Here is a 13699-nt window from a genome sequence, read left to right as displayed (position 1 = left end):
ACAACGTATCTCACAGCATGTGTGATAATATTTCCATACGTATGTGATAATGGATCAACGTTTCCTAGAGATAAAATAAAAAGTTCTAATTTGGACAAAAGCAAACAAGGAAAATTATACCGTAGAAAAGCCCGGCTGACGGAAGTGAGGCCCTGTCTCAGGGAGAAACATCAGAGACGTTTAAAAGCAGGGAGTGAAACAGAGGATAGCGTGCCATTTTTAATACTGGCCCTTGTTTCAGTGGGAAAAGGCCAAAATAAGCCGTGCATATCCTGGATTCTCGCATCGATCGTTCAGGATCGGAGATGTTGCCTCCATTTCCAGTTACGCATTGTATGGTGGAATTGCAGTTAGCACATTTGGTGCCAAAATTGTAATGCTGCCGAAAGTGGACATGTTCCCTGAAGTAAGAGGGACAGAATTTGGGTGTGTCTTCCGGCTGTCTGGCTTAGCAGGAATGAAGATCCTGGCTCTAGGGATTTTCCCAACATGTCTTAGACGGTAAGGAACAGGGCGGAATTGAGGCCCGGCGCCAAGGCCTCTAGGTGTAAAGAAACAGCCCTGGCTTCAGGGCCCATGAAATTAGGATGATTTTAAGGAGGATGATGGGATGAGAGGACTGTGACCTTTGGCCCCGTTTCTTTCCCTTGTCTTTTCATGGGCCAGGTGTGCTCCATCAGAAGGCTTCCTGTGCCGGATGTAAAGTGTCCTGGGGGAAGAAAAGAGCACTGCTTAGAAAGATGCTCCACAGGGAGAAAGGAGCCACCATTTTCAGGAGAATGATCCCCAGAAGCATGAGCAATGCAGATGCCGAGGCTTCACACAAGACCCTGGAGGGTCTTATTCCTGCAGCCGGGACCTGGGCATCGGTGTGCTTGAATGCTCATAACCGATTTTGAGGGGAGCCCAATCGATAAGCTGTCTGCCAGTCATGCTCATCACACTGTAGTTTTCACACACGTCACACGGAGACCCTGTTCGTATGCACATTTGGGTGCTTGAGCAGGGTTGCGCCCAAGATTCTGTGGTTCTACGGAGCCCTGAGTTGTGCCCTGGGCAGCTTTCCTCTGGGGTTGGTCAACTTTGATCACTGTACCTGACGAGAAAGGGACCATGAAGTCTAATCAGCAAATAGAGAAAAGGAAGGGGCCATTTCCCACAATCATTTCCACGGAAACACCACGTCGGATCAATAAGTCTCACTGCGGGACAGGGACTGTGCTTCAGAGATGCAGCTTTCGCAGCTGGACAAATGACCCAGAAATTCCCCAAATGCCATTTTTAAACACACCCAGTGAGATTGATTGCAGGGCTTTCTGAATTTATTTCAGTTGAATACACACACTCCTGTGTTTGCTTTCCTTTATTATCAATACAGCTTACTTCCAGATGACTTACATGCCCGTGGGAAAATTTTCCGTTTCGACTCATGGGAAGCGGGCACCGTGAAACAGGCAAGTCGGTCTGTCCGCTTCCGGCGTTATGTGGGTTCCAGCAAGAGCACAAGTCCCAGGGCGCCTGAGGTCCATTCAGGAACCAGTGTAAAAACGGCGAGCCCGGGGAAGAAAGAAGAGCACCGTTCTTCTCTTCCAAATGCATTCCAGTTTCCACTATTCAAGGTGGCGAGAATGATCCACGGATGTCCCACATGAGCCACCTTTCACCTTCTCATGCCGACCAACAACTGACGAATGAAACACACCCCAAGAGAAAATACGAAACCGAGTCCCCTGCAATTACCTCACACGCAAACCTACGCGTCGGTAGGTCATATTCAGAAATACACACTGAATGTCACCTATCATGAACACAAACACTCAGACAGTCCCTCCAGAGGTTCGGAAGACTCACGACCCCAAAACTTGATGTTTCCCATATGCGGGCTCATCCTGAGATGTAGCCATCACTATCCAGTTGTCCCTGTTGTAGAGACAGAAAGTTGGGCTCCTCATTAGTTTATGTAGGATTGACGGTGTTCGTGTTTGTGTGGGTGTGTGTGTGTTTGCGTGCGCGCTTCTGGGTGTAGTTATGTGTGTGTCTGTGTGTGTGCGTGTGTGTGTGCACCCCTACGTGTGGGTCGGTACTTCCACTGAGATCACTGGCACACAAGCAGAGCCCTCTTGCTGTGTTTGTTCTTCCCTTTGGATCTCCTGGCCCTCCCTCGCAGGGAAGCGAGTGTGCCAGTGTTCATGGACTCCTGATGTGTCGGGGTCGTCGAAGAGAGTTTTAGCAGGGAGCTTTGCTGTTCAGGATGATGGTTCTTCATCCCACACTTGTATTTTGATTGATGAATCACAAGTACGTCGGGAGGCAGGGTACCTTCGACTTTTCTGACGTTGAACTCAGGCTTCGTTTTGTTTTGCTCTTGAAGGAATTTCCAGTGGTCTAAGGTGCTTTCCTGAGTGGCTCTTTCCACCAAGTGCTCGTCCAACTCGGGGGCCTGGAGGCAGGGGTGGTCTCTCTTGAGCTCTCCTTGCGTTGCTCGCCTGTCTGTGTCTTCTGCGCCAAGGGCTCTTGGTTCTCTGCCTCTTGACACACTCTCACTGTGTCTTTCCCATTCACTCTTCTGGATGTAAAAGAGGACGTAGGCCTGTTGACTCAGGACAGAAGTGATGCTAGAGGCGGTGACCTCGGCATCATCCATTTTATACCACTGGCCTTCTTGAGCTTTGACATAAGAGAAGTAATGTCCGTTGTGACAACTCCACCCAGCGTGGACCAGCACAGCATAGAGGACATAGACGAGAGGTCCTGTGTTCGGCTGAGACATGTATGGCTGCATGTCAAGGCACTCAGGATATTGCACATTCTTGGCAATCTTGTTGCCTGTGACATCGGAGAATCTCTTCAATACAAGGATGAGGACCTTGGCAGAGGTGAGTAAAGTTAACATCTTGGAGGCCGGCGCCCTCTGGAGACAAACACCACAATGATAGGCATTCTCTCCATTGAGTTCTTCGGGCTTCACCAACTGTTCCAAAGCTTGCTGGACACTCTGAGCTGCCTGGATATCCAGGGCGATGTCCAGGTAAGGGTCAAAAGTGTCTGAAATGCCGTGGCAGTGGAGACACTTGATTTGAGATCTCCAGTAGCCTCCAAATATTTGGTGGATGAGGGTGGTGTCCTTAGAGTGATGATCCACCTGCTTGTGCCCGGGAAGGCATGCCTTTTTCATGGCATCCACAGTGAACATGAGAAATTCATGGGCATCTTCCTGCTTGCCTCTATGGAAGCCAGCAGCCAATGCCTGTGAGGGCTGGATGACGTGGCCAGGATTGTGGAGGGCCCGTGTGATGTGAGCTTGCATCGTACAGAGCATGCAGCCCTTGTGACGATGACACGTTTGAGAGTGCTCCCGGGACAGCATGTAGTTGGCAAGGGGCGGTGTGTATGTCAGGCACTGCAAGGAAGCGTTCACGTAGCAGGTATTTCCCATATTCTGGAGCCCAGCCCCCACCGCAGCAGGTCTCCTGTTACTCAGAGGAAGCTTCTCCCTGGGAGCAAGCTGTCTTGCCACAGGAGCCAAATCATCACAGAGGTCGACACGGGTCTCACATGAGAGTGGTGACTTCTCAGGGAGAGAAGTCCGCTGGATTTCAGCAAAAGCTGCATCGGGCCGAGAAGATGTGAGTTTTGAAAAGTGGTTGAACTGCCACTCACCTCCCAAGTAGAGTGAGTCTTCCTCCATGTCGACTGGAACAAGGATCACAAGGTTTTTCTGCTGGGACCGCAGGTTGCAGAAAGACGCTATCCCTTCCGAGAGAGTCTTCAAATGACGAGCTCTCTGGCGCATCAGCCCTTCTGTAAGTCAACCCCACCAACCGCGAACACCCCACCCACTCATCAGGTGCGCGATAAGCCAATCAAATATCAGCACTCAATTCAGGAAGGAGTCACAGGGTGTGTCCCCTTGCATCGCTGGGAATTCAACAGACACAGCCCACAGCATGACTTCCAGAACACCTGAATCAAATTACTCCTCAGGATGATAGGCACATATAATAGGAGTGTAACCGGGTTGGGACAGTGGCCACACAGTTGCCTTATTTTAGGTAAAGCAATGGCAGGGAAGAAATCTTTACGTAGGAAACCGTGTGAGTGTGTGTGTGTGATTGTGTTCGTGTGTGTGTGTGTGGGGGGGGCGCGTGTGTGTGTGTGTTTGTGCTGGGATGAACTTCCAAGTATGTACTTTTGGCAACTGCCATCATCCTCTCAGCGACGGAAAGACAAGAAGTCGAAAGTGCGCTTTCTGACCTGAGAATAGTCAATGAAGTATAGTATTTAGCACAGCGTATTTTCTTCCCTAATGAGAAAGGAGAGATCCGTGGAATCAAACAGACCTTCCAGCGATAAGCTTTCCACGTTGAGCCTATTGATTCTCTATCTGAGTGAAATTACCTGCCAGTGGAGAACAAGACAAGTCTTTGCATGAAATGCTCTTGTGGAAGCTAGATTGCCAAATAAGAAAGCATGAAATGGTAGAAACATGCACTGAAGTTTGAAGAGATACTCAGTGCACAAAGTAGACTGTGAAAGCCTTTGGGGAAATCATGCAATCCCCGAGAGACTAATTGATGACAATCCCCAAATTTATGTTTGCCAGAAAAGAGAGACGGTCATGACACTGCATAGTGAGCGGTTTCGGACGTGCGACGGCAGTTTAAGAAAACACGAAACAAAAAACTTGAGAACTCAGAAGGTATCCCAGCTATAACCGTTTGTTTATTAAAGAATTGATGAAAATAAAAACAACGTATCTCACAGCATGTGTGATAATATTTCCATACGTATGTGATAATGGATCAACGTTTCCTAGAGGTGAAATAAAAAGTTCTAATTTGGACAAAAGCAAACAAGGAAAATTATACCGTGGAAAAGCCCGGCTGACGGAAGTGAGGCCCTGTCTCAGGGAGAAACATCGGAGACGTTTAAAAGCAGGGAGTGAAACAGAGGATAGCGTGCCATTTTTAATACTGGCCCTTGTTTCAGTGGGAAAAGGCCAAAATAAGCCGTGCATATCCTGGATTCTCGCATCGATCGTTCAGGATCGGAGATGTTGCCTCCATTTCCAGTTACGCATTGTATGGTGGAATTGCAGTTAGCACATTTGGTGCCAAAATTGTAATGCTGCCGAAAGTGGACATGTTCCCTGAAGTAAGAGGGACAGAATTTGGGTGTGTCTTCCGGCTGTCTGGCTTAGCAGGAATGAAGATCCTGGCTCTAGGGATTTTCCCAACATGTCTTAGACGGTAAGGAACAGGGCGGAATTGAGGCCCGGCGCCAAGGCCTCTAGGTGTAAAGAAACAGCCCTGGCTTCAGGGCCCATGAAATTAGGATGATTTTAAGGAGGATGATGGGATGAGAGGACTGTGACCTTTGGCCCCGTTTCTTTCCCTTGTCTTTTCATGGGCCAGGTGTGCTCCATCAGAAGGCTTCCTGTGCCGGATGTAAAGTGTCCTGGGGGAAGAAAAGAGCACTGCTTAGAAAGATGCTCCACAGGGAGAAAGGAGCCACCATTTTCAGGAGAATGATCCCCAGAAGCATGAGCAATGCAGATGCCGAGGCTTCACACAAGACCCTGGAGGGTCTTATTCCTGCAGCCGGGACCTGGGCATCGGTGTGCTTGAATGCTCATAACCGATTTTGAGGGGAGCCCAATCGATAAGCTGTCTGCCAGTCATGCTCATCACACTGTAGTTTTCACACACGTCACACGGAGACCCTGTTCGTATGCACATTTGGGTGCTTGAGCAGGGTTGCGCCCAAGATTCTGTGGTTCTACGGAGCCCTGAGTTGTGCCCTGGGCAGCTTTCCTCTGGGTTGGTCAACTTTGATCACTATACCTGACGAGAAAGGGACCATGAAGTCTAATCAGCAAATAGAGAAAAGGAAGGGGCCATTTCCCACAATCATTTCCACGGAAACACCACGTCGGATAAATAAGTCTCACTGCGGGACAGGGACTGTGCTTCAGAGATGCAGCTTTCGCAGCTGGACAAATGACCCAGAAATTCCCCAAATGCCATTTTTAAACACACCCAGTGAGATTGATTGCAGGGCTTTCTGAATTTATTTCAGTTGAATACACACACTCCTGTGTTTGCTTTCCTTTATTATCAATACAGCTTACTTCCAGATGACTTACATGCCCGTGGGAAAATTTTCCGTTTGGACTCATGGGAAGCGGGCACCGTGAAACAGGCAAGTCGGTCTGTCCGCTTCCGGCGTTATGTGGGTTCCAGCAAGAGCACAAGTCCCAGGGCGCCTGAGGTCCATTCAGGAACCAGTGTAAAAACGGCGAGCCCGGGGAAGAAAGAAGAGCACCGTTCTTCTCTTCCAAATGCATTCCAGTTTCCACTATTCAAGGTGGCGAGAATGATCCACGGATGTCCCACATGAGCCACCTTTCACCTTCTCATGCCGACCAACAACTGACGAATGAAACACACCCCAAGAGAAAATACGAAACCGAGTCCCCTGCAATTACCTCACACGCAAACCTACACGTCGGTAGGTCATATTCAGAAATACACACTGAATGTCACCTATCATGAACACAAACACTCAGACAGTCCCACCAGAGGTTCGGAAGACTCACGACCCCAAAACTTGATGTTTCCCATATGCGGGCTCATCCTGAGATGTAGCCATCACTATCCAGTTGTCCCTGTTGTAGAGACAGAAAGTTGGGCTCCTCATTAGTTTATGTAGGATTGACGGTGTTCGTGTTTGTGTGGGTGTGTGTGTGTTTGCGTGCGCGCTTCTGGGTGTAGTTATGTGTGTGTCTGTGTGTGTGCGTGTGTGTGTGCACCCCTACGTGTGGGTCGGTACTTCCACTGAGATCACTGGCACACAAGCAGAGCCCTCTTGCTGTGTTTGTTCTTCCCTTTGGATCTCCTGGCCCTCCCTCGCAGGGAAGCGAGTGTGCCAGTGTTCATGGACTCCTGATGTGTCGGGGTCGTCGAAGAGAGGTTTAGCAGGGAGCTTTGCTGTTCAGGATGATGGTTCTTCATCCCACACTTGTATTTTGATTGATGAATCACAAGTACGTCGGGAGGCAGGGTACCTTCGACTTTTCTGACGTTGAACTCAGGCTTCGTTTTGTTTTGCTCTTGAAGGAATTTCCAGTGGTCTAAGGTGCTTTCCTGAGTGGCTCTTTCCACCAAGTGCTCGTCCAACTCGGGGGCCTGGAGGCAGGGGTGGTCTCTCTTGAGCTCTCCTTGCGTTGCTCGCCTGTCTGTGTCTTCTGCGCCAAGGGCTCTTGGTTCCCTGCCTCTTGACACACTCTCACTGTGTCTTTCCCATTCACTCTTCTGGATGTAAAAGAGGACGTAGGCCTGTTGACTCAGGACAGAAGTGATGCTAGAGGCGGTGACCTCGGCATCATCCATTTTATACCACTGGCCTTCTTGAGCTTTGACATAAGAGAAGTAATGTCCGTTGTGACAACTCCACCCAGCGTGGACCAGCACAGCATAGAGGACATAGACGAGAGGTCCTGTGTTCGTCTGAGACATGTATGGCTGCATGTCAAGGCACTCAGGATATTGCACATTCTTGGCAATCTTGTTGCCTGTGACATCGGAGAATCTCTTCAATACAAGGATGAGGACCTTGGCAGAGGTGTGTAAAGTTAACGTCTTGGAGGCCGGCGCCCTCTGGAGACAAACACCACAATGATAGGCATTCTCTCCATTGAGTTCTTCGGGCTTCACCAACTGTTCCAAAGCTTGCTGGACACTCTGAGCTGCCTGGATATCCAGGGCGATGTCCAGGTAAGGGTCAAAAGTGTCTGAAATGCCGTGGCAGTGGAGACACTTGATTTGAGATCTCCAGTAGCCTCCAAATATTTGGTGGATGAGGGTGGTGTCCTTAGAGTGATGATCCACCTGCTTGTGCCCGGGAAGGCATGCCTTTTTCATGGCATCCACAGTGAACATGAGAAATTCATGGGCATCTTCCTGCTTGCCTCTATGGAAGCCAGCAGCCAATGCCTGTGAGGGCTGGATGACGTGGCCAGGATTGTGGAGGGCCCGTGTGATGTGAGCTTGCATCGTACAGAGCATGCAGCCCTTGTGACGATGACACGTTTGAGAGTGCTCCCGGGACAGCATGTAGTTGGCAAGGGGCGGTGTGTATGTCAGGCACTGCAAGGAAGCGTTCACGTAGCAGGTATTTCCCATATTCTGGAGCCCAGCCCCCACCGCAGCAGGTCTCCTGCTACTCAGAGGAAGCTTCTCCCTGGGAGCAAGCTGTCTTGCCACAGGAGCCAAATCATCACAGAGGTCGACACGGGTCTCACATGAGAGTGGTGACTTCTCAGGGAGAGAAGTCCGCTGGATTTCAGCAAAAGCTGCATCGGGCCGAGAAGATGTGAGTTTTGAAAAGTGGTTGAACTGCCACTCACCTCCCAAGTAGAGTGAGTCGTCCTCCATGTCGACTGGAACAAGGATCACAAGGTTTTTCTGCTGGGACCGCAGTTTGCAGCAAGACGCTATCCCTTCCGAGAGAGTCTTCAAATGACGAGCTCTCTGGCGCATCAGCCCTTCTGTAAGTCACCCCCACCAACCGCGAACACCCCACCCACTCATCAGGTGCGCGATAAGCCAATCAAATATCAGCACTCAATTCAGGAAGGAGTCACAGGGTGTGTCCCCTTGCATCGCTGGGTATTCAACAGACACAGCCCACAGCATGACTTCCAGAACACCTGAATCAAATTACTCCTCAGGATGATAGGCACATATAATAGGAGTGTAACCGGGTTGGGACAGTGGCCACACAGTTGCCTTATTTTAGGTAAAGCAATGGCAGGGAAGAAATCTTTACGTAGGAAACCGTGTGAGTGTGTGTGTGTGATTGTGTTCGTGTGTGTGTGTGTGGGGGGGGCGCGTGTGTGTGTGTGTTTGTGCTGGGATGAACCTCCAAGTATGTACTTTTGGCAGCTGCCATCATCCTCTCAGCGACGGAAGGACAAGAAGTCGAAAGTGCGCTTTCTGACCTGAGAATAGTCAATGAAGTATAGTATTTAGCACAGCGTATTTTCTTCCCTAATGAGAAAGGAGAGATCCGTGGAATCAAACAGACCTTCCAGCGATAACCTTTCCACGTTGAGCCTATTGATTCTCTGTCCAAGTGAAATTACCTGCCAGTGGAGAAGAAGACAAGTCTTTGCATGAAATGCTCTTGTGGAAGCTAGATTGCCAAATAATAAAGCATCAAATGGTAGAAACATGCACTGAAGTTTGAAGAGATACTCAGTGCACAAAGTAGACTGTGAAAGCCTTTGGGGAAATCATGCAATCCCCGAGAGACTAATTGATGACAATCCCCAAATTTATGTTTGCCAGAAAAGAGAGACGGTCATGACACTGCATAGTGAGCGGTTTCGGACGTGCGACGGCAGTTTAAGAAAACACGAAACAAAAAACTTGAGAACTCAGAAGGTATCCCAGCTATAACCGTTTGTTTATTAAAGAATTGATGAAAATAAAAACAACGTATCTCACAGCATGTGTGATAATATTTCCATACGTATGTGATAATGGATCAACGTTTCCTAGAGGTGAAATAAAAAGTTCTAATTTGGACAAAAGCAAACAAGGAAAATTATACCGTAGAAAAGCCCGGCTGACGGAAGTGAGGCCCTGTCTCAGGGAGAAACATCGGAGACGTTTAAAAGCAGGGAGTGAAACAGAGGATAGCGTGCCATTTTTAATACTGGCCCTTGTTTCAGTGGGAAAAGGCCAAAATAAGCCGTGCATATCCTGGATTCTCGCATCGATCGTTCAGGATCGGAGATGTTGCCTCCATTTCCAGTTACGCATTGTATGGTGGAATTGCAGTTAGCACATTTGGTGCCAAAATTGTAATGCTGCCGAAAGTGGACATGTTCCCTGAAGTAAGAGGGACAGAATTTGGGTGTGTCTTCCGGCTGTCTGGCTTAGCAGGAATGAAGATCCTGGCTCTAGGGATTTTCCCAACATGTCTTAGACGGTAAGGAACAGGGCGGAATTGAGGCCCGGCGCCAAGGCCTCTAGGTGTAAAGAAACAGCCCTGGCTTCAGGGCCCATGAAATTAGGATGATTTTAAGGAGGATGATGGGATGAGAGGACTGTGACCTTTGGCCCCGTTTCTTTCCCTTGTCTTTTCATGGGCCAGGTGTGCTCCATCAGAAGGCTTCCTGTGCCGGATGTAAAGTGTCCTGGGGGAAGAAAAGAGCACTGCTTAGAAAGATGCTCCACAGGGAGAAAGGAGCCACCATTTTCAGGAGAATGATCCCCAGAAGCATGAGCAATGCAGATGCCGAGGCTTCACACAAGACCCTGGAGGGTCTTATTCCTGCAGCCGGGACCTGGGCATCGGTGTGCTTGAATGCTCATAACCGATTTTGAGGGGAGCCCAATCGATAAGCTGTCTGCCAGTCATGCTCATCACACTGTAGTTTTCACACACGTCACACGGAGACCCTGTTCGTATGCACATTTGGGTGCTTGAGCAGGGTTGCTCCCAAGATTCTGTGGTTCTATGGAGCCCTGAGTTGTGCCCTGGGCAGCTTTCCTCTGGGGTTGGTCAACTTTGATCACTGTACCTGACGAGAAAGGGACCATGAAGTCTAGTCAGCAAATAGAGAAAAGGAAGGGGCCATTTCCCACAATCATTTCCACGGAAACACCACGTCGGATAAATAAGTCTCACTGCGGGACAGGGACTGTGCTTCAGAGATGCAGCTTTCGCAGCTGGACAAATGACCCAGAAATTCCCCAAATGCCATTTTTAAACACACCCAGTGAGATTGATTTCAGGGCTTTCTGAATTTATTTCTGTTGAATACACACACTCCTGTGTTTGCTTTCCTTTATTATCAATACAGCTTACTTCCAGATGACTTACATGCCCGTGGGAAAATTTTCCGTTTGGACTCATGGGAAGCGGGCACCGTGAAACAGGCAAGTCGGTCTGTCTGCTTCCGGCGTTATGTGGGTTCCAGCAAGAGCACAAGTCCCAGGGCGCCTGAGGTCCATTCAGGAACTAGTGTAAAAACGGCGAGCCCGGGGAAGAAAGAAGAGCACCGTTCTTCTCTTCCAAATGCATTCCAGTTTCCACTATTCAAGGTGGCGAGAATGATCCACGGATGTCCCACATGAGCCAAATTTCACCTTCTCGTGCCGACCAACAACTGTCGAATGAAACACACCCCAAGAGAAAATACGAAACCGAGTCCCCTGCAATTACCTCACACGCAAACCTACACGTCGGTAGGTCATATTCATAAATACACACTGAATGTCACCTATCATGAACACAAACACTCAGACAGTCCCTCCAGAGGTTCGGAAGACTCACGACCCCAAAACTTGATGTTTCCCATATGCGGGCTCATCCTGAGATGTAGCCATCTCTATCCAGTTGTCCCTGTTGTACAGACAGAAACTTGGGCTCCTCATTAGTTTATGTAGGATTGACGGTGTTCGTGTTTGTGTGGGTGTGTGTGTGTTTGCGTGCGCGCTTCTGGGTGTAGTTATGTGTGTGTGTGTGTGTGTGTGTGTGTGTATGCACCCCTACGTGTGGGTCGGTACTTCCACTGAGATCACTGGCACACAAGCAGAGCCCTCTTGCTGTGTTTGTTCTTCCCTTTGGATCTCCTGGTCCTCCCTCGTAGGGAAGCGAGTGTGCCAGTGTTCATGGACTCCTGATCTGTCGGGGTCGTCGAAGAGAGGTTTAGCAGGGAGCTTTGCTGTTCAGGATGATGGTTCTTCATCCGACACTTGTATTTTGATTGATGAATCACAAGTACGTCGGGAGGCACCGTACCTTCGACTCTTCTGACGTTGAACTCAGGCTTCGTTTTGTTTTGCTCTTGAAGGAATTTCCAGTGGTCTAAGGTGCTTTCCTGAGTGGCTCTTTCCACCAAGTGCTCGTCCAACTCGGGGGCCTGGAGGCAGGGGTGGTCTCTCTTGAGCTCTCCTTGCGTTGCTCGCCTGTCTGTGTCTTCTACGCCAAGGGCTCTTGGTTCCCTGCCTCTTGACACACTCTCACTGTGTCTTTCCCATTCACTCTTCTGGATGTAAAAGAGGACGTAGGCCTGTTGACTCAGGACAGAAGTGATGCTAGAGGCGGTGACCTCGGCATCATCCATTTTATACCACTGGCCTTCTTGAGCTTTGACATAAGAGGAGTAATGTCCGTTGTGACAACTCCACCCAGCGTGGACCAGCACAGCATAGAGGACATAGACGAGAGGTCCTGTGTTCTGCTGAGACATGTATGGCTGCATGTCAAGGCACTCAGGATATTGCACATTCTTGGCAATTTTGTTGCCTGTGACATCGGGGAATCTCTTCAATACAAGGATGAGGACCTTGGCAGAGTTGTGTAAAGTTAACGTCTTGGAGGCCGGCGCCCTCTGGAGACAAACACCACAATGATAGGCATTCTCTCCATTGAGTTCTTCGGGCTTCACCAACTGTTCCAAAGCTTGCTGGACACTCTGAGCTGCCTGGATATCCAGGGCGATGTCCAGGTAAGGGTCAAAAGTGTCTGAAATGCCGTGGCAGTGGAGACACTTGATTTGAGATCTCCAGTAGCCTCCAAATATTTGGTGGATGAGGGTGGTGTCCTTAGAGTGACGATCTACCTGCTTGTGCCCGGGAAGGCATGCCTTTCTCATGGCATCCACAGTGAACATGAGAAATTCATGGGCATCTTCCTGCTTGCCTCTATGGAAGCCAGCAGCCAATGCCTGTGAGGGCTGGATGACATGGCCAGGAATGTGGAGGGCCCTTGTGATGTGAGCTTGCATAGTACAGAGCATGCAGCCCTTGTGACGATGACACGTTTGAGAGTGCTCCCGGAACAGCATGTAGTTGGCAAGTGGCGGTTTGTATGTCAGGCACTGCAGGGAAGCGTTCACGTAGCAGGTATTTCCCATATTCTGGAGCCCAGCCCCCACCGCAGCAGGTCTCCTGCTACTCAGAGGAGGCTTCTCCCTGGGAGCAAGCTGTCTTGCCACAGGAGCCAAATCATCACAGAGGTCGACACGGGTCTCACATGAGAGTGGTGACTTCTCAGGGAGAGAAGTACGCTGGATTTCAGCAAAAGCTGCATCTGGCCGAGAAGATGTGAGTTTTGAAAAGTGGTTGAACTGCCACTCACCTCCCAAGTAGAGTGAGTCGTCCTCCATGTCGACTGGAACAAGGATCACAAGGTTTTTCTGCTGGGACCGCAGGTTGCAGAAAGACGCTATCTCTTCCGAGAGAGTCTTCAAATGACGAGCTCTCTGGCCGCATCAGCCCTTCTATAACTCACCCACACCAACCGCGAACACCCCACCCACTCATCAGGTGCGCGATTAGCCAATCAAATATCAGCACTCAATTCAGGAAGGAGTCACAGGGTGTGTCCCCTTGCATCGCTGGGAATTCAACAGACACAGCCCACATCATGACTTCCAGAACACCTGAATCAGATTACTCCTCAGGATGATAAGCACATATAATAGGAGTGTAACCGGGTTGGGACAGTGGCCACACAGTTGCCTTATTTTAGGTAAAGCAATGGCAGGGAAGAAATCTTTACCTTGGAAACCGTGTGTGTGTGTGTGTGTGTGAGTGTGTTTGTGTGTGTGGGGGGGGGCGTGTGTGTATGTGTGTTTGTGCTGGGATGAACTTCCAAGTATGTACTTTTGGCAGCTACCATC

The 13699-nt window shown here is 49.5% G+C and overlaps 3 protein-coding genes across 3 annotated transcripts; all 3 read right to left on the bottom strand.

Annotated features, from left to right (window-relative positions):
• Window positions 1–2095: 2095 nt before the first annotated feature.
• On the bottom strand, window positions 2096–3688 carry USP17L12 (ubiquitin specific peptidase 17 like family member 12). Its single transcript, NM_001256853.1, has one exon. The coding sequence runs from the start codon at window positions 3686–3688 to the stop codon at window positions 2096–2098; it is 1593 nt and encodes a 530-aa protein (NP_001243782.1).
• Window positions 3689–6842: 3154 nt separating this feature from the next.
• On the bottom strand, window positions 6843–8435 carry USP17L11 (ubiquitin specific peptidase 17 like family member 11). Its single transcript, NM_001256854.1, has one exon. It carries the CDS (start codon window positions 8433–8435, stop codon window positions 6843–6845), a length of 1593 nt encoding a protein of 530 aa, NP_001243783.1.
• A 3155-nt stretch (window positions 8436–11590) lies between these two features.
• On the bottom strand, window positions 11591–13183 carry USP17L10 (ubiquitin specific peptidase 17 like family member 10). Its single transcript, NM_001256852.1, has one exon. It carries the CDS (start codon window positions 13181–13183, stop codon window positions 11591–11593), a length of 1593 nt encoding a protein of 530 aa, NP_001243781.1.
• Window positions 13184–13699: the final 516 nt, after the last annotated feature.

The sequence above is a fragment of the Homo sapiens genome, chromosome 4 (assembly GCF_000001405.40).
Source record: "Homo sapiens chromosome 4, GRCh38.p14 Primary Assembly".
In the NCBI taxonomy this organism is placed as follows: Eukaryota; Metazoa; Chordata; class Mammalia; order Primates; family Hominidae; genus Homo; species Homo sapiens.
The sequence above is the reverse complement of the archived record's forward strand: the minus strand, read 5'-3'. Positions and strand labels throughout refer to the sequence as shown.

Bases quoted from the DNA above. Each gene is read 5' to 3' on its own strand.
- USP17L10 (NM_001256852.1), bottom strand. From the start codon at position 13,183: ATGGAGGACGACTCACTCTACTTGGGAGGTGAGTGGCAGTTCAACCAC.
- USP17L11 (NM_001256854.1), bottom strand. From the start codon at position 8,435: ATGGAGGACGACTCACTCTACTTGGGAGGTGAGTGGCAGTTCAACCAC.
- USP17L12 (NM_001256853.1), bottom strand. From the start codon at position 3,688: ATGGAGGAAGACTCACTCTACTTGGGAGGTGAGTGGCAGTTCAACCAC.